This window comes from Homo sapiens, chromosome 15 (assembly GCF_000001405.40).
Source record: "Homo sapiens chromosome 15, GRCh38.p14 Primary Assembly".
Lineage (NCBI taxonomy): Eukaryota > Metazoa > Chordata > Mammalia > Primates > Hominidae > Homo > Homo sapiens.
In genome coordinates this window covers 48,975,485-48,993,196 of record NC_000015.10, presented here as the reverse complement: position 1 = coordinate 48,993,196, position 17,712 = coordinate 48,975,485, and the positions used below count along the sequence as shown (strand labels likewise).

Genomic DNA, 17,712 nt, shown 5'->3' with positions numbered 1-17,712 from the left:
GAGCCAAGATCATGTTGCTGCATTCCAGCCTAAAAGAGCAAGACCCCATCTGAAACACACACACACACACACACACACACACACACACACACACACTCTCTCTCTGTCTCAAACTAGTACTAAATAAACTAAATTTGTAGTTTTTCCAGTCAGTTTCTAAGCCAACAAATTTATATATTTTGTTGTTCTTTCTTTTTTGGGGGTTTTTAAAGAGTTGCATGATTTTGAAACAGTGTTCTGGTTTTTAAAAAATCTGCTTGATACTTGTAGAAACAAATTGGAGAAACATGGTGGAAACTTCAGATGGACTGGAAGCATCAGAAAATGAGAAAGAGGTATCCTGTAAGCACAGCACTTCTGAAAAACCCAGTAAACTTCCATTTGACACACCCCCAATTGGTAAGCAGCCATCATTAGTGGCTACAGGCAGTACTACCTCAGCTACAAGTGCTGGGAAATCCACAGCAAGTGATAAAGAGGAAGTGAAGCCAGATGACCTGGAATGGGCCTCACAGCAGAGTACAGAGACTGGCTCTTTGGATGGCAGTTGCCGAGATCTTTTGAATTCCTCCATCACCAGCACCACCAGCACTCTTGTACCTGGCATGCTTGAAGAAGAAGAAGATGAAGATGAGGAGGAGGAGGAAGATTATACTCATGAACCCATATCTGTAGAAGTGCAGCTCAATAGTAGAATTGAGTCTTGGGTCTCAGAGACCCAGAGAACTATGGAAACCCTTCAGCTTGGAAAAACCCTTAATGGTTCTGAGGAAGACAATGTAGAGCAAAGTGGAGAAGAGGAAGCAGAGGCGCCTGAGGTGCTGGAGCCAGGGATGGACAGTGAGGCATGGACTGCTGACCAGCAGGCCAGTCCTGGGCAGCAGAAGTCCAGCAACTGCAGCTCGCTCAACAAAGAGCACTCTGATTCTAATTACACAACGCAAACTACGTAACTCAGGAAATGTCGGCTCTCTATCTCCAGCTGTGGAAGGGTTGCAGCCATTACCTTTTATGCTTCATCTCAACATTTTGCACTGTCCAGTATTTAATATACGTATTTAATTCCCAACAAATATTTTTGTAGCTTTTACTTGTTATGATCTGTAGCTTAGCTTTTAATTAGTATCTAAGTGTCTTTCTAAGAACTGTGTGGAAAATTCAGATCTGTTTCAGCTTATTTTGTAATCAAAAACAGTGATAAAAAGAAGACCAGATCTTAAAGAAAATAAATTTCAAATGCTTACTTAAAAGACATTTTGAAAGTTAAAGAACAAGGTTCTAAGGATAGAAGCAGTTATCAGTGTTTGCTTCAGGACTCCACCTCCTCTACTCTAATTTGACCAAAAAATTGTTTGGGCTTCTTTAAAAAAGAACTGGGGGTGGAGTCAGAAAATTAAATGAAAGGCTGAGGGTAACTAAGTCCACCAGTGTTGTATGTTAAAAAATCAATGCAACTTTTATGTGGTCCACAAATGTTTAGTCAGAAGTCACTGATTATTGTAATTAATTAGTGTTGGGATGGGCTAAAACAGAGCCTTCAAAACTTCGGCTAGCAGTGGAGCCACCATCTTAGATTATAGCTAGCTAGCCTCATTTGTGGAAAGTGATAGATGCTGTCTATAATAGTGAACAGTCACCCATGATAGGACCTCCAGGTTCTGTCTCATATTTGCTTCTTACTTACCTCAGGAATGCTCTTGTACATAGACTTATTTACAAAAAGCTAGGCACATGTTGACAGGTGAATAACTGTAACCGATTGTATGACTGCTGCACTTACATGTAAACTCTTCAGAAACAGAGTCTTATACTGGTGTGTTCTCTTGCATGCTTCTGGTTCAGGACTCTTGATTTGAGATATGGATTTGATTGAGTATCCAAACTTGTCCTGAGTGCAAAACTGTTTCACCTTTTAAAAAATACCTATTTTGCACCTAGCCTTGAGCACCTTCCACATAGCAATGACCATAGTTACTGTCAGGAGGTCAAGGAAAGGAACTTTGCACAACTTGTGACATGTATCCTGATAATCAAGGCTTAGAGGAGGAAGTTTTAGAAGATAAGAGAAAGTTGTTCTAATTGTGCTGAAACTATTAGATGATTTAGAGTATACAGATATGTAGGTATTAATTCTCTATTCACTATTATTTATCTCTGCCCTTCTCTAGGAGTTTGTATACCTGCTTAGGAGACAATAAATGAGCTAAATGTTTTATTTGCTAGTCAGTCACCACCTGGACTTCAGTGACTTTACAAGTTTATGTAATGGTGGAAGAATGACAAACTATGTAATTTTTTTGTCTTCCATCCAACTCCCCACCACCCCCAACTGTCCCCCCCACCCCCCTCACACACATGCACACATCCGTACGTGTGTGTGTTTTCCACTTACAAGCTTCCATAAGCAGGCACAAAACTGAGAAGGAAGGGGTATTATCCCTGCCCTGATTATCTGGGGCAGGGCTTTGCCTCACAGAGGCAGGAGAGAAGAATTGGGCAGATTCTTTACTGAACTCATTGGGACTACTGTGCTAGTTTTGATGTTTTATAATGCTGGCATTTAATTACTGGAGAGATTGGATTCTTGGTTGATGATTTAGTATTTGTGAATTGTGAAAGTTCAGGAGCTGTGTAGAAAATGTTAGTCAATCAACTTTATTATTGTGCTAAAAGGGGACATTCTTATACTGTCCTGTCTAAACTGTTCTCCAGTATAGACTTCCTAGGCACTAAATATCCAATATTTAAAGGAACACAGCAGGTAAGGAATGAAGCCTCTGAAATAGTACTCATGGATTTATACATGGCAGATCTTACTGTCTCTACACATTTGGAAGTGTTCGTTGGTTTAAAGAAATGATAGAGGTTTTGAACTACTGACAGTCTTAAAAGTGAATTTAAAAACTGTTCATACTTTTTATGGTGTAAATTTCCTTTGCTCGATGTCAGTGATTCAGATAACTCTTGACCTTGAGATGATGGCTTTTCACAGGTTTCTTATATTTTATATCTCTTCTGAACATGAATTGTCATTTTAGATTTTTGACATTTGTATCAAAAGAGAAGTTGAGGAAATCTTCAGAACACTGGTAACTTTTAGTTTTGCTATAGACTTCAGAAGTGTTTATTTATATGTTCGGTAAATGCTCTCGCATATGCAGTACCTCTTCTGCCAGCAAATCCAAGGGACCATAGCCTTTTTATGAGACAGGTCACCTCTAGAGGACAACCCAAGAATTATTAAAGGAAATGTTACCATTTTGAGAGCATGCTTAAATAAATATTAATAATGTCTTTATAACTTGTTTCCTTTAAATTTTGGAATATTGAATTACAGGCTTTGGAGGAGTTGTGAAAATTAGGAAAGTTTTTATATATTTTTTGAAGTGGGCATGGTTGGCTCTTTGAAGACCTATAAAGAGATCCAGTGGGAAGAGTAAGGGTTGGTTCATCATCACAAGAAATAAAAAACATAGTGATTTTTTCTCTTAATGTGTAGAGGTGGTTTTACTGGCAATAATTAATAATAGATTTCTATTTCAGTATGTAAGCATATTAACTAAAATATGAATTACACTTCCAAAGTTAGATTTCTGCTTCAGTAGGTTTGTTTGCTGTGAAGATTACTTCTCAAAAGACAGATGTTCATATTAGCTTAATTTTCGGTTTAAATATGTTTGTAAATGATGTAATATATTTCTTTTGACTAAATGTGGAAAAGTAATGTGTGTTATACATTGAGAAGTTTTTACTGGCTTTGACTGGAGGTTGTTTTTGCAGAGATGGTATTTTATATGATTCCAGTATTTGGAAAAGAATTAGTCAAAAGGAATTCACATAGTTTAAATACTGAGAAATTAATATCCAAATATGTACTTGTCTGATTTCTAAATAAGCTGGGGGAGGAGGGAGGGGTGGGAATTGAAATGTGCAAATGAGTAGTGAATGCTACACTCATTTTCAACTCTTTAACATGAAACTGTTCAATCTTAACACATTGTTACTTTAATATATGTATAAAGAAGTATTACTGTTTGTAAAGCTGCTGTTTGCTTAAAAAAAAAAAACACCCTTGTCATGTATTTTCTGTATGTTGGGCCAACAGGTTAGAACATCAACTCATTTAAAAATTTTTATCTTTTTTTGATTTAAAAAAATTCTGTGAAATAATTTATTTACAGACATCTTCCTCCTCCCTCATCCCTTCCAACCTTTACATACATCACAGAATCAACCAAACTGTTTGCCTAATCTGAAATCTGAATCCTAATGAGAAAAATTTAAATTTTGTTGGCACATCACACCTTGAAAGTATTTGTATTATTTTATAATTTAATTTCTAAATATACCACATAAGTTTATAATTTAATGTCTTAATTGTAATGCTCTAATAAAAAACTAGCAAAATTAGTGTGAGTTATAACATGAAGGGATTTTCATCTTTTGCTGTATGAAGGATAATTGTTATATCACATTTGGGGGGTAATAACAGCTTTTTTGCACTATGTAAATACTAGTGGGGATTCTTCTGTACTAATAAAATGATTATTGAAATGAAATCTGTCCTTTCAGAAGAGATACTTCAAGAGTTCATGACTCCCCACAAGTAGAAGACAGAAAAAAGAGTCCAGCTTGAGTATTGATTGGTGGTCATATGGAGTTGCCAAAAAAGGCTGTAAAATCGTCACGAAGGAGTTAAGAATAAAAATCTCCATCTGGGATGGTTGGTGTGATCTGCGGCATGGGCCCAGGCGTTTAGCCAGAGACCATCCTGGTTATTAGGAGAAGGCTTCTATAGATTCCTTCACCTTTTTATATTAGTTCCTCTGTGCTGGGCACTGTTCTAAGTCTTTTCCCAGTATTAACTCAATCCTTAAAACAGTCCTGTGAAGTAGATTTTGGTTACTATTTCTCACTTTTCAGATGATGGAAGAGTCATGGAGATGTTAACCCAGCCCCATACCAAAGCCCATGCCCCAATCACTGTACTTTGTTATGTCTTGGCATAAGGTGCACAGGGTGTGCAAGGCAAACATGCTTCCTTCACCTTCAGGTGTCTTTGGGAATGTGGAACAGGAGGACTGAAGAGGGCCTTGGGGACTAAAGTTATTGGGCCTCACCTCATCGCCCTTTCCCTAAGTAGCCCCAGGACTTCTCACTATGTCACAGTGAAATGTAGGGAATCTGAAAAAGTGCATTCATCTGTCAGAAAATAGGATACTAATTTTCATAACAAAGAAATGAACTTTTTGGTGATCACAAAGCGAAGGAGAATGCCTCATCAGTTGTATCAGATACTTCCTTTTTAACCAGTACATGTACCACTCCCTAATTTTTTCCAATAGTGATCAGTTTTTCTCCTAACCAGAAGAGGGTGTGCATCGCACCTGAAAACAGTCAAAAGCTACATGTAATAATAATACTTTTTTAAAGCAGGAAACGGTGAAAGAGAAGTAACCTGAACTATGGGCCTTGCCATTAAAGGTGCTTAGTTGAGTCTAAGCTCAGAACTGGGAACCATGCCTATGGGTATCATTTCATTTTAGAGAGAATATTTAGACATGTTGAATAGGTCGTGAAATTTCTAGATTAGCAAGTCAGTCAGTACTTTTGGCTTGATTTGGGTTCTTCTGATGTTACTGTCATGGAATATTACACTTGGCTTATATATTAGGCATCAATGGCAGCCTTGTGGATTGCAGAGCCAGAGTATGGTTTGTGAAATGGGAGATGTTTCAGTTCTGGACCCAGTCTCAATCTCTGTATTTCTCTCTTCCCAGTCCTTCCATTTTGACACTTTGAGTAATTATTTAGCAATCATGTGGCAAGCAAGGTGACCCTTACTCTTGCAGAAATAGGTTGGATAATTGTGCAACTATAAACTGGCTGTACCTGTATCTAAGGTTTCAGTTGGAAGCAGAGGATTGGAGCAAATAAGATAATGAGCTGCATGAAATTTGGAGCTTCTGGCTGAGCATGATGTTCTTTATGTAATTGCTGAGGAACCAACCAAAGAATGGAATTGTGATCTGGTGTGCTATGGTTTTGGAGGCTGGCGTAATAGGTTTCTGTGGAAGGAATGAGTGCTTCATCTAGCCATGGCTTTGAATTACCCAGAGGGAACAGATAATAGCTACAGCATTCCCGTGGTAGGCCTCTGATGGGAGGCAGTGTCAGTTGCATCCTCATCTACCAGGGGATGAGTGATGTAAGGCGGTTCCTACTTCATTGTGCAGATTTCTCCAGGTAATTGTTTTCACCCTTTACTTCTCAGTCTTCTCTCTGTTTAACTGAGTTAGAGAATTTCATTGCCTTGTAAACCCTCAGCTTGAGAATGGAGTATTGAATTGAAATTAAAGCAGTTAATGTTTGTTAGCTCTGGATAAAGAGAAATGAGAGAAAACTTTTAAAATATTGGCTTCTCAATCACAGAAATATTAGAGGTCATCATCCCTCTCATTGTTCCTTTTCCTTGCTTCCCCCTTCTTAAAGCCAATATTGTAAGGAAAATGGTGAGCTTCTAACAAATCCTGTAACATCTGTAATTAGAAAGGTAAGAAATTACTGTATTCCTATTTTACAAATACTCAAACACCATGATGACCAAGAAAGATAAAACTATTTCCTTAATTTTCTCTTTTCCTAATAAAGTGTACCAATTAAATGATGTAATCTTTTAGATAAGGTGATCAGCAAACTATTGCCTTATAGCCTGTGGACCAACGCTGCCCAGCAGCCTCTTTTTGTAAACAAAGTTTTGTTAGAACACAGCCACACATTATTTACATATTGTCCATGGTTGCTTCAGTGCTACAATGCGGAGGTGAGAGACCATATGGCCTGCAAAGCCTGAAATATTTATTCTCTGGCCAACCTCTAAAATTGAGATGATGTCCAATATTTTACACTCACGTGATTCCCGCCCCCAGTTCTTTTATCTCCAGAGATGATACGTTTGTTGTGGTTTTACATATTAAAAAACGTACTAAGCTCTGCCCAGTGGTAGAAGGCATGCAGATGCATAGGAGGGGCACCACCAGAAGCAAGCCTGGATGCTTGGACAGTACTGGCGTTTGGGAAGGCCTGAATTCTTGTTTCTCTGTTCTCTAATATTGGGCAAGTCCCTGGTTCCTGATTTCCTCTTCTGTCAGGGGATGTACTGGATGAATCAGAACTTGGCTCCTTAGAGAAACAGTGAAGCCATTTTTTGGTCAAGGATGGTCATAAGTTGGATGTGAGCTGGGCACTTTCTAAGGCTACCATAGCCAAAGACTGCCAGCACCCTCAAAGTGGCCTGGATGGGTCCTGTCCCCAGAATGGGTCATGGCAATTAGGCTGATCACCTTAGTTCTTCCCGCTTCACCCCTCCCCCCAACCATCCCCCACTAAAATTTGAACTGGAGGCCAGAGAAAGCAGAGTGTCGCAGGTGTGCAGTATGCAGGTATGCAGAAAGTAGAGAGGCTATGAAAGTAACAAAGCAAGACTGACCACTTTGCATTTTTTTAGCCCATGCTGTGCTTTAACCAACACTACTTTTCCTTAATTGTATAGAGCTTTTTATGTACTTAAAATATTTTATAAGAATAACCAAAAGGAAGGGGCCAACTAAAACGCAACTATTTTCTATCCCATAACTGACTTCCCAGATTTGGCACTGACTTCAATAAATTGACAAACAGAAAAAGCATTAGTAGTGGAAATGGAACTGGAAGCCAGATTTAAACCCCTATCTTGATTGATTTAGCAAATAACAACTATTTGTTAAATAGCCAAGAGCTACACATTTTATTTTCTTCCCACGAATGAAAAACTCTTCCTTCATCTTTTCCCTGGCCTAACCCTCCCCCAAGTAGTGAGAAATATGGGTTCCATCTATGACTCTCCCATCTGCTCTTTAGCTAGAGCAAAGTGCTTTAATCTTCATAGAAAGTTCTAAGATTGTGTTAGCAACCCACTTATTTGGTTTCCTTAGAAACCAGAACACAGTATTTAAAGTAATGGCATTCCTTGCTCGGAATAGAAATTGAGTAAGCTGATCGTGGTGCCCCTGGTCTGCTCAGGGCTGCTTCACCTCTTCAAACACTATTTTTCACCTGCCAATTCATGGTAGCAAACCTATAAATGGTAGCACAGGGGCAACTATCTGGAATACAACATAGTGAAAGCTCTGGACCTGTATCCACCGCCAACTTCACCCTGGCCAGCTGCAGTGGCACCTACAGTAGCCCAGTCTGTGGAAATATTGACAAAACAAACTGTCTCTTTTAATTTCAGAATTTAAAAAATGTTTCCATGTACTTGTAACTTTTGCAGCAATTTAGGTTGGTTGCCACCAGCTTCCAAGAAATCTGAACACGAATCAAGATGATGAAGCTGCTCAGGCATTTAGAAAAAAAGCATAAAGAAAGGAAAAAGAACTTTGAAAGGAAATCAGTACTAAAGTATTATTAACTAGGCATCTGTTGTTTTGTCTGGTTAGTACATCCATTCTTTGGGGAACAACACTTTATGCCTCACACACCCACCAGCGATATAATCTCTTAATTGCAACAGGAGCAGGCAGTTAAATGACCCCGAAACCATTGATTAGTCTGGAAATCATGAAACAGTTGATCTGTGCCGGGCCAATGGGATTTTTCTTTGGGAATTTTGGACTTGGGATTGAGAGAGCTTGGCTCAAATGGTTTGGGGTGTCTGGCTTTTAAAAGAGGAATCTCTAAAGTCATTTTTGGCCAAGAAAAAGCAAAATCTGGGTCAGGCAGTGTTGAACAGATTTCCTTACTGTCAGACATTTTACAGCCTCCAATATCCTAATGTATTTTGACTCTCCATGAAGGAAGGATTTATTATATATCAGGCTGCATTTCCTCAACATGTTGGACCATGGCACACACAGTTCTCCACATTCAGTCACAGAGCACTTTTTCTGTGCAGGAACTATGAACATCCTGGGGAACTAGTTTTTCATGTAATGTGCGACAAAATCTATGTTGCTTAAACTCTGAAGGTCCAGGAGGATGAGGCACATAAGGAATACCTGGACTGCTGTAACTCGCAGATTCTCAACCAGGGGCAATTTCACCTCCAGGGGACATTCGGCAACGTCTGGAAACAGTTTTGATTGTCACAACTGAAGAAGGGGCTACTTGTCATCTAGCAGGTGAAGACCAGAGATACGCTAAGCACCTTATGGTACACAAGAGAGCGACCCCACCCCACAAAAAAGAACTATTTGGCCTGAAATGTCAACAATGGAGAGGTTGAGAGGCCCTGCACTAACTCAATCCTGGGAGACTGCATTAGTCCCATATAGGTTCATGGCCCCAAGAAGGTGGGCATGTATTCATATGGTGAGTTATCAAATGCTCTTGACTTCTGTTTCTGTCACATGTTTATACATTCTCTAATGTTCCAGAGTTGGCTTAGCCAGGGACATCCAGGTCTTCCTGATACAATAGGCCTTATTTTTAAAAAGTGTTTTTTTCAACCGCCTGGGGAAGAGAATGAAGAGAGTTTGACCTGGAGCTTCTGATCATGTGCCAGTACATCCTCCCATGTCTCCCACTTGTTTCCTCCCATCATGTGGGCAGGCGTGTGAGGAGCAAAAGGGCAGGGAGGCACCTCTGGCAAGGGCTGCTCAGTGAACACTCCAAGAAAAGCACAACTCAAGTGCGAACAGGAGGCCAGAGGAATTCGGTGGTCTGGCCGTATCACACAATTGAATCAAGCAAAGGTGGCGGGGACTGAGTTTTCTAAGACACTGTGACATGGAATCCAGCTGCCTGCCCTGCTGAGTAGCATCTCTGAAGCAGACACAAGAAAGCCTCTGCAGGATACTCCAGCAACCTCCCAGGGAATGGCTGCCCTGGAACCAAGTCCCTCAGCAGAATCACTGGACAGGGGCTTGGAAAGGGGCTTGGAAATGCCTGAGCAGCTCCTGTAATTCTGGAGAGAATGGAACACAAAGCCCCCGTCTACAAAGAAGAAGCTCCCTTCTTAAGATTACTGTTGAAAGACATAGGGAGACTTACTAAGCCACAAACTGAGGACCCTCTATTATATTTTAATCAAATCAGTGTTGGTTGATGCTGATTCTGGGCCATGGTTGAGTTAGTGCCCTGGCAGAGTTGACAGACACACAGGCTGCCCCATCTCACACATGGCTGTGTACTGAGAGTTCCTAAATTGCTTGAAACATGGAACATTATCCCAGAGTAGCCATATTAAAGTGCTCATTATATTCCCAAGCTAAGCCCTAGAAACCCTTAACCATAACTCATGTTGGAGCTGAAATGATAGGAAAAACCCACAGTTATAGGAAACTATGCTGCTACAAATGCATTTCAGCTTCATACACTGAAATTGTTGTTGAATTCCCCTTGTTTCTAGGAGAAAAGTGTATAATTCAGGAAAATAAGTACACATTTCCAATTACCTGGCCCCTTCTACTCACACATACAAATACACACACACACACACACACACACACACACACACACACACACACACACACACAGAGTCTTTCTCTTACCCAAACTCCCCCGCAGTGGGGCAGTGTGAGAATCAAGGATCAAGGTTTCCCGGTGCAAAGGCAGGTCAGCAGCACTTTCCGCTGCTGGGGTGTTGATGTCTCAGAACAGACACTCTCCTGGCTATGGCCTCCAGATGCAACGACAGGGATAAGAAAACACAGCACACTCTGCAAGTCTGTCAAGTAGAGACACAGGTCAGGCAGCATGTTTCCCCAACACAGAGGTCCCAGGTTAGGGGATCTTTAATATGGAGAGAATCGTAAAGATGATTCAGTCTAAGCCCCTCATTTACAGATGGGGAAACTGAGGCCCAGGGAAGCAAAGGGATCTGGCCAAGGCCACTTAGCTTTGTGGAGGCATATTAGGGCTGGGATTCCAGATCCACCAATCCCCAGGCTGTGCTCTTGTCCCTGCATCCTGAGACTCAGAAACTAGAATTCCCCTCAGGCTCCTTCCAACGCCCAATTCTACTTTTGCGAAACACATTCTCTAAGAGAAGCTTTGTTTTCTGGCTAAAATAGCTGTGCTTGCTGAGTTGAGGTCATAGAACTCTTGAGGCAGAGATTGCCAAACTTTGCCACCCCACGATACTGCAGATGCTGCAGTTTCTCTGCACCTGGAATCTTCCTTCTCCCAAACGGAAATCAGCAATTGGCAGCACCAGCAAACACCAGCACATGTCTCCCATCCTCACCATGTTTATCTCCACTCATTGGAAAGGAGCTGCCCCGCCTCTGGCCACCTGACCAGAATGTTCTTAACTCTCAAGAGGAGAGAGACTGCTCTTTGTAGGTGTGTGATGGTGATGGAAGAGGAAATGCAAACACTTTGTCGAAAGATGTAGCACTAGTGCTCCATGGCCCTCTGTCCACAGATGTCTGATAAGCCTCCAAACCTCTTTTCTAACCTGGAAACACCCATTATCTTGCTCAAAGCCATGCTGCTCTTTACGAGGTCCTCAGGCTGCCAGAGTGGGTGGATCAAGGAATTGACCTTAATGATACCACTATGGTATAATAATGTATTCCATGTGCAAGGCTGTTCACACCTTGAAAAATGCTTTTGTGTAAATGATCTCATGTGGCCCTGTGAGGGAGGTAAGAGAAGTGATTCTTATACCCATTTTATGGACAAAGAAACTAAAAATAAATCTGATTATTCTTCAAATGTATCCAGTGGCAGAGGCAAGATCAGAACCCGAGTCTCTTGGATCCAGTATCTTTTCCACCAAACATATAGCAGTCTTTTGAAAATTTTTTATTGTTCTTGAATAGACAATATCTACACACGGTTCATAATTCCAAAGATACCAAAAGATGTACAATGAAAAGCAAGTCCCTTTCCTGCTTCTCTGCTTCATTCCCCAAAGGCAGCTCCCTAAAGATGCAGCCTTCCAGAGCCCATCTATGCACATCCCAACAATAAATATGTGTATGGAAATACATCTATATGTGTGTATTTGTGCATGTGCATACACACAAATGAAGGACAGTTTTTATCCTCTTAAACATATGTATCTTCCACTTCAGCCCATGTGGAGCTGCATTCCGAAAGGTTCAATAATGCTCATTCGGGTGGAAGGTGGGTGATGTGTCTTACGGTTAAGTGCACAGGCACTCTGCAGTCAGGCAGATCTAGGACAGACTTACCATTGATCATGTACATGTGACAAAACCTCTCTGGGCTTTAGTTTTCTCATCTGACAAATGGACATAGTGATTCCTAATACATAAGTGAGAGAGTGTCTGTGACATGTTTAGCACATAGCATGTCCAATAAATGGTGGCTACTTACTGTATGCCTACTATGTGCCAGATACTGTCCTGGGTACTGTAGAAAAGAGGTGTTGGCCCTTAAAATGTTTACAACTTAAGGTTGAAGAAGGAGATCTAAACAAACAAATTTATTTATTTTTATATTTATGTTATACTAAATATTTTTATATTTTATATTTATTACAGCAGAATGGTTGGGAAGTCGTTCACAAAGACAGTAAGAGCATAGACTCCTACCTGCAGGTAAGACATTCTTGGGGTCCAATCTCATCTTGAATGAGTTATTCAACTTGCCGTGAGCATCAGCTTCCTCATCTGTAAAACAGGAATAATAATATAGAGTTGTGAGGATCAAGTGAAATAATGCACAGCACTTAAAACAGTGCCTGGCACATGACAGACATTCAATAAAGGGTGATTTTCAGAATTGTACAGAAGGAATGCCACTGTAGAAACATGTACAAGGCACCCAGGTGGCACATGGAGAAGGCAAGCCTTCCAATGACATGAGAACGGCCACGTGCCAGGCCCTGTAGTTGATGTTTTACATGCATCCTCTCACTGAATGCTCACACTCCCTCTGAGAACTGTGTTACCCACTTTTCACAGAAGAGAAAATCAAGGCTCAGAGAGCTTCTTCCTAGGCATAGACAGAAATGGCAATTTCCTTCTCATTCTTTTATCACCTGGCTCCCCAGAGAAAAGTCACTAAAACCAAGAAGACGTCAAGGACCTGGGGCGCCTCGTAGGTGACATTCACTCACTTGCTCACACATCTTCGGATTTGTGCTGAGCCCTCTTGTGCCCGAGCCTCTGTGCTACACCCCGGGCCAGAGCAGAGATGGCAGCTCTGGTCCTCGAGGAGCTTCTATCCCCGTGGCTGGACAGACCTCAAAGTCTCACTACACATCTGATTATTCATTCACAGCCATGATAGAGAGAAAGGGATGTGCCTGGCTTGGGACCTGATCTGGTTCAAGAGGATGTGAGGTTCCATCTCCGTCTGCTCTTGCCTTCCCAACATCTCAGTTTGTGAGGGAGATCGGAGGGTAGAGAGGAAGAGACCATGAGCAGAGGTAGAAGTAGTTGAGCCTGTTATTATTGCATGGAGGGGAAGAAGGTCTCTTTTCAGCCCAGAGATCACACGGCAGTGCTCTTGGGGGGGACTCCCATTGCCACAGCTGTGATGAATGCTGACCTTGGCCAGGCAATGCCTCTCACACCCACAGCCAAGGAGGGTGTGGAACTGACAAGATGCCGAGTGTATAGCTTCTACTGCTGTCATTGGTGGCATTGTTGAGAATATCCTTTACATCTGATTTACATGGCAGGTTCTAGTCTACCCAGCACTTTTGACATCCACCATTTCATTTTATTTGTTGTGCATAATATTTATATACAATATTTATATACAGTGGGGGTGGGTGGGCCAGGAGAGACTGGGAATTACTTCTCATTACTGCTACTCCTCACTGTAGCTCAATTTTCTACCCTCTGAGGTAAACAAGGTAGGTATTATCAGCCCCATTTTACAGATAAGGAAACTGAGGCTGTGAGCATTTAAGTTACTGGCCCGAGGTCACAGAGGTCATTTGCTTCCGAGCCAGGGATTTGGTCAGTAGGGTCCTCACGTTGACATGCAGTGATGCCACATGTTGGTCCCTTGTCAGACTCTGCCCAAGTTTCACCCTGTGACAAAGAGCCTCTTAGCTCCACATTCTTTACCAGGTAGAATAAGGCTGTGTCCTGAGGAAATAAGGTCCTCATGGCAGGTCTGGACTGCTCTTCTTCCCTATGTTCTAGTGACACTCCTCCCTCCCCACTTTGGCTCCTGTTATGAACTGAATTGTGTCCCCTGCCTCCATTCATATGTTTAAGCTCCCACCTCCAATGTAACTGTATGTGGAAATAGGCCCTTCAAGGAGATAATTAAGATTAAATGAGGTCATAAGGATGGAGCCCTAATATGACAGGACCGGTGTCCTTATAAGAGAAGGAGACACCAGAATTCTCTCTCTCTAAGCATGCTCAGAAGAAAGGTCATGTGAGGACACAGCCAGAAGGCAGCCATCTGCAAGCCAGGAAGAGAGGCCTCACCAGGAACCAACGCTGGCACCTTGATCTTGGACTCCAGCCTCCAGAACAGTGAGAAAATGAATTTCTGTGATTAAAGCCACCCAGCCTGTGTCACTTTGTCATGGAAGTCTGAGCAGACTAATATAGCTACTATGTCCTAAATCTCCACCCTCCACCTTCACCTAAAGGCATTGAGCACAGGTATTTTACCCAAGACTTTCTTTCCGGGGTTCTCCTCAATTAACTGCTTAAATTAATCTCTCTTGCAGTGTTTATTTTCACAAAAACTTTCAAGAGAGATTTCCAAAGAAATAGTTTGTGACCCTGAGAAACAGGTTTGGCTTCATCAGTGAACAGCATGAATTATGAAACTGATCCTGTTCCCCCATTTGACATGTTTGCTTGGGAGCTCAGAATTAAATTGACAGCCTAAACTTCTAGAAAGTTTACTTGCCCTTCTGTGAAACACTTTATATACTGTCACCACTGCTTTCACCTTAATTTCCTTCTTGTTTTTTTCTCATCAGTTGCTTCTTACATTTATTTCATAAGTTAATCGATGAATAATACATTCTTGTTGTAAATAATGAACTCAGAAGTATACAGAACAAAACCTGAAAGCATTCATTTATTATGTCATAGTACTCTCTCTGTATTTGTGTAAGTAGCCTCAAATCCATTTGGAACAATATTAGGAATAATCAAATTTTTTAAAACAAATAAAAGATACCTTTATCTGAAAAACAAATAAATAGGTACCTTTGTTTGAAAGCTTACTGCCATGCTAGGAATGTTCAGTATGCTTTCTCTTTTGATTGTCACAGCAACTCTATAAGGCAGATTTCATATGCTCATTTCACAAACTAACACAATTGAATGAGGTTAAGTTAGTTGTCCAAAGTCATAGTAAGTGGTAAAGTCAGAATAAAACTCAGATCAAGAGTTCAAAGTTTGTGTGTTCAATAGCAAAGTCATGGAATCAACCTAAATGCCCATCAATGGTGGACTGGATAAAGAAAATGTGGTATATATACACCATGAAATACTACACAGCCATAAAAAAGAACGAGATCAGGTCCTTTGCAGCAACATGGACGAAGCTGAAGGCCATAATCCTAAAAGAACCAACGCAGGAACAGAAATAACAAATACTGCATGTTCTCACTTATAAGTGGCAGCTAAACATTGAGTACACATGGACATAAAGAAGGAAACAGGCCAGGCGCGCTGGCTCACGCCTGTAATCCCAGCACTTTGGGACGCCGAGGCGGGCAGATCACAAGGTCAGGAGATCGAGACCATCCTGGCTAACGCGGTGAAACCCTGTCTCTACTAAAAATACAAAAAAATTAGCCGGACGTGGTGGCGGGCACCTGTAGTCCCAGCTACTCTGGAGGCTGAGGCAGGCGAATGGCGTGAACCCGGGAGGCAGAGATTGCAGTGAGCCGAGATAGCGCCACTGCACTCCAGCCTGGGCGACAGAGCGAGACTCCGTCTCGAAAAACAAAACAAAACAAAACAAAAAACGAAAGACACCAGGGCCTGCCTGAGGGTGGAGGGTGGGAAGCTGGGGAAGGGGTAGAAAATTTTAAAAAACTACCTATTGGGTGCTATGCTTATTACCAGGGTGATGAAATAATCAGTACAGCAAACCCCATGACAAGCAATTTACCTATATAACAAACCTGCACATGTACTCTGGAAACTAAAATAAAAGTTGAAAAAAAAAGTTTGTGTGTTAGTTTATTTATTTGTTTGGTTTGGTTGTTTGTTGTTGTTGTTAACTATCTTGACCCTCTATAACAAAGAGAAGGATTAGGAAATTGATGTACAACTGGGTTGTGTGGATTGCGTGTGTTGCAGGGCAGGGGTTGTGAATTGCTCTTCAATCACAGCTACTCCTCTGTCTTGTGCAAGCCATTGGCATTATTTAGGCAATTCAGCCAAGAGCCAGGTTTTGTTTTCCCTTAAGTGGCAATAGAGACCTGACCCCAGCCAGCCGATCTTGTGTCAACTCCAGGAGAAAACGGCCAAGGCCAAGTGTAAGGACCGTAGCCTAAGTCACCTTCCACCACTGATCAGTGGGCTGCTGCTATCAGCCAGAATACAGGGCGGCCTCTCTCTCTGGGGAAGAGGCAGTAGCGGAGTGTGGACAGCGGATAGTTGCTGGGAAGAAACTTGCCCACCTCCCACCCGCTACTTCTCCCCAACCAGGGCAAGTTCGCATTGCTGTACAACACGTGTGCATAGGCGCCTTCCGGACGGCTGGCTCCAGTAATTTGTACTGGCGTCCCCCTGCTCGTAGGTCCTGGCCAGAGGACTCAGCTCTCGATAGAAACACTGACCGCTGTCCCAGCTAGCAGGCAAGCCCATTTCTATTTTCATCTGAATTCCCAGCATCTTAGGGAAAGAACTTGGCCCTTCCTATCGACCAGACCCATGACGAGGGAGGAGAGCCTGCAGGCTCCTTCTTTAGCCTTCTTTGACTTGGACTCCGAAGACAAAGGTGAACTTGAGTGCTGCGGAGACACAGCTTCCCTTTATGCTCCCACTAGGCCCCCGGGCCGCTTAGTATCCAGCACTGAGGCCCTATTGTCCCGGCGGGGCACCCGGGGCCTGACTGCCCACACTGTGAAAGCGCAGTTCCAGCCCCCTCTCCCCTCCCCCCGAGTCGCTGTGCCTGGAGAAGGGCTTTGGAGTTTCACGGAATGCACACTGGCCCTTTTCTTCTCGGGGCGCCCGCAGCTTTGATGCTGTGCGCCTGGCAGCCTGGTGCTCCGCTGGTCTTTTTCAGGGAGACCGTGCGAAAGCGCGGACCAGACGCTCTCCCCGCCGCCCGGCCGGGCTTCTCGAGAAGGGCACAGCCCGGGGCGGCCGCGGAGCTGGCGGCCTGCAGCTCCCGCCGCCGCACCGAGGGGGCGCTGCGCCTGCCCGCGGGGAGCTCACGCAGCCGGAGCTCATCCGGGAAACTCATCCGCCGCCCGCCTTTCAGACGAAAAACAGGCAGCCCGGGGCCCGGCAATGCTACCTCTGGGAGCTCATTCTGAGAGCTCATTCTGAGATAATCAGACTGGGATCTGTGAGAGGATATGTCAAAAAAAACTTCTTCCTCCAAATCTTTCTATGAAAAATTGCAATCATGCTAAAAAGTTGGAAGAATGGTACAATATACACCTATATACCCGCTATCTGGCGTCTGCAATTAGCATTTTGTATGGAAGGATTTAGCAACAATGGCTATCACTGTCCTATTGTGTGTGTGTGTGTGTAGGAATCTAAATCCACCCCCTCTCCGATTTGCTAAATTATGCCACATTTGCACAATGGT

The 17,712-nt window shown here is 42.5% G+C and overlaps 1 protein-coding gene across 2 annotated transcripts in view, besides 4 other annotated features; it reads left to right on the top strand.

Annotated features, from left to right (window-relative positions):
* The window catches only part of SECISBP2L (SECIS binding protein 2 like), a 57,809-nt gene extending 53,250 nt beyond the window's left edge, over window positions 1-4,559 (top strand). For both annotated transcript variants that reach the window (NM_014701.4, NM_001193489.2), the window contains one exon: window positions 271-4,559. In NM_014701.4, coding sequence (NP_055516.2) covers window positions 271-953 — 683 coding nt within the window. In that variant the 3' untranslated portion in view covers window positions 954-4,559. The remainder of the gene's footprint in view (window positions 1-270) is intronic.
* Window positions 17,199-17,448: a silencer, noted in NCBI's record as "silent region_6421". NCBI's record gives its function as "represses an Ori minimal core promoter by ATAC-STARR-seq in GM12878 lymphoblastoid cells {active_cell/tissue: GM12878}" and the evidence as "EXISTENCE:reporter gene assay evidence [ECO:0000049][PMID:35858748]".
* Window positions 17,199-17,508: a biological region, named in NCBI's record as "ReSE screen-validated silencer GRCh37_chr15:49267886-49268121".
* Window positions 17,273-17,508: a silencer, noted in NCBI's record as "fragment chr15:49267886-49268121 (GRCh37/hg19 assembly coordinates)". NCBI's record gives its function as "represses an EF-1alpha promoter that drives an FKBP-Casp9 reporter gene in an ReSE screen in K562 erythroleukemia cells {active_cell/tissue: K562}" and the evidence as "EXISTENCE:reporter gene assay evidence [ECO:0000049][PMID:32094911]".
* Window positions 17,509-17,598: an enhancer, noted in NCBI's record as "active region_9381". NCBI's record gives its function as "activates an Ori minimal core promoter by ATAC-STARR-seq in GM12878 lymphoblastoid cells {active_cell/tissue: GM12878}" and the evidence as "EXISTENCE:reporter gene assay evidence [ECO:0000049][PMID:35858748]".